The sequence below is a fragment of the Homo sapiens genome, chromosome 14 (genome assembly GCF_000001405.40).
Source record: "Homo sapiens chromosome 14, GRCh38.p14 Primary Assembly".
In the NCBI taxonomy this organism is placed as follows: Eukaryota; Metazoa; Chordata; class Mammalia; order Primates; family Hominidae; genus Homo; species Homo sapiens.
In genome coordinates this window covers 42,190,795-42,193,379 of record NC_000014.9, presented here as the reverse complement: position 1 = coordinate 42,193,379, position 2,585 = coordinate 42,190,795, and the positions used below count along the sequence as shown (strand labels likewise).

At 32.1% G+C, this 2,585-nt stretch overlaps 1 annotated feature.

The window, feature by feature from the left end:
- Positions 400-694: a silencer, noted in NCBI's record as "tiled region #9782; HepG2 Repressive non-DNase unmatched - State 23:Low". NCBI's record gives its function as "represses a minimal TATA promoter and a strong SV40 promoter by Sharpr-MPRA in HepG2 cells {active_cell/tissue: HepG2}" and the evidence as "EXISTENCE:reporter gene assay evidence [ECO:0000049][PMID:27701403]".

Genomic DNA, 2,585 nt, shown 5'->3' with positions numbered 1-2,585 from the left:
GGAGACAGGAGACATTGCAAAAGCCAGTGCTCCTTACTTTACTCGTGTTTACAATTATGAGTCATTTTAATAGCTTTATAACAGCATGCCATGACTCATCACAAAATTATCTTCTTATAGACTTCTGGCCAGTGAATGAGGTGATTCAATTTCAGAGTTCTATCCTGGGAATTTGCTTCTTATGTTTAGTTCCAATAGTAATTTTATTAGTTTGGCTTCCTCCAGAAGCCAACCCTGTGGCAAATACACAAATGCAAGTAGTTTATTTGGAAAGTCATCCCTGGCAACATGGATGGAAGTGGAGATCATTATGATAAGTAAAATAAGCCAGGCACAGAAAAACAAACATTGCATGTCCTCATTCATTTGAAAGACCTAAAAGATCTAAAAGACCGAAAGATCTAAAAGATCTAAAAATCAAAACAATTGAACTCATGGAGACAGAGAGTAGAAGAATGGTTAAGGAAGGCTCGGAAGGGTAGTAGGGGGTGGGGGGAAACGTGCAGATGTTTAGTGGGTATTTAGTAGTCAGGAAGTGAAACAGGGAAGGGAAAGGAAGGCAGTCAGTAAGGAATGCATTAACACAGCATCCAAATAACATAGGCACAAAGGCAAAATAGGAGGTCACCAGCTCATATCCTAACAACAGCAAGAATTCTCCACCCACCTATGGGCAAAAGTATCTTTGTGGGAGCATTGGGATTCAAGTAGGAGGTTGTAAAACCCTGGTGAAACCCAAAGCCTAGGATATAACAACTGTAAATTTTAAATATATGTATGCCCTCAATATGTATACACCTGAATATATAAAATAAAAATTAATAGATCTAAACAGCAAGATAAACTGCAAAGCAATAATAGTAGAGGACTTCACCACCTCACTTTCAGCAATGGACAGATCATCCAAACAGCAAATCAATATGAAAACATTGGACATAAATTATATTCTAGGACAAATGAACTTAACAGATATATATAGAATATTTCATCAAATATCTACATAATACATAGTCTTAACTATGCATGGAACATTCTTCAGTATAGATAATATATTAAAACACAAAAGAAGTCTTAACAAATTTAAGAAGCAAACCAAGTATCGTTTATGACCACAATGGAATAAAACTAGAAATCATAACAGGAGGAATTTTGGAAAAATGATAAATGCATGGAAATTTTGGAAAATTCACAAATACTTACACCAAAACAACAAATGAGTTAAAGGATATTATAAGGAAAAATTAAAAATATGTTGAGATGAATAAAAATGAAAATACAACTTGCCAAAACTCATGGGATGTGGCACAAACAGTTTGAAGAAGGAAATTTACAGCAATGAATACCTAACTCAAAAAAAAGAAAGATCTTAAATAAGTAAATCAATGTTACATTTCAAAGCTCTAGAAAAAAAAGAGAACAAACTAAGCCCAAAGTCATTAGAATGAGGTAAATAATAAAGATCTTAGTAGAAATAAATAGACACTAGAAGAACAATAGATCAGTAAAATTAAAAGTTGCTTTTTGAAAAGATAAAAAAAATCAATGAAATTTTACCCAGACTAACTTAAAAAAAGAGACAAGACTCATAAATAAAATCTGAAATAAAGAAGAGATATTACAACTATCATAGAAACACAAAGGATCAAAAGATACTATATCTCCAAAAATTGTATATCCTAGAAGAAATGGGTAGATAAATTTCTAAAAACATATAACCTACCCAGACTAAATAAGAAGAAATAACAAACATGAACAGACCATTGATGAGTCTGTTTAAGAAGGTTGAATTATTAATAACAAAATCTCCCACAAAATAAAAGCACAGGACTGGATGTTCTTTCACCAGAATTCTACTAAACATTTAAATAATGAATACTAATTCTCCCCAAACTCTTCTAAAAAATTAAAGAAAAGGAAATATTTCCAAATTCATTTCATAAGGCCAGTATTACCCTGATTTCAAAGCCAGATACTGGCACCACATTAAAAGAAAATTATAGGCCAAAAGCTTTGAAGAATATAGATGCAAAAATTCTCAACAAAATACAACGAAACTAAATTCAGCAGTATATTAAAAGGATCATTCACCATGATCACGTGGCAGTTATCCCCGAGATGCAAAGATAGTTCAACATAAGTCAATCAATAAACATGATACAACATATTAATGGAATGAAGAAAAAAAATACGATAATCTTAATATATGCAGGAAAAGCACTTGAAAAAATTCAACATCCTTTCATATAAAAAGTGAACATATTAGATATCAAATGAATGTACCTAACACAATAAAGGCCATATATGAAAAGCCCATAGATAACATTATACTCTATGGTGAAAAGTTGAAAGCTTTTCCTCTAAGATCAGGAACAAGACAAGGATACTCACTCTTGCCACTCAATACAGAACTGAAAGTTCTAGCGGGGACAACTAGAGAAAGAAAAGAAGTAAAAGTCATCCCAATAAGAAAGAAATGAGTAAAATTTTGTTTACTGATGCTCTAAACTTATAATATGAACCCTCCCCCAAATCAGTTGGAACTGATAAACAAATTAAGTAAAGGAACAGTAGATAAAACCAACACA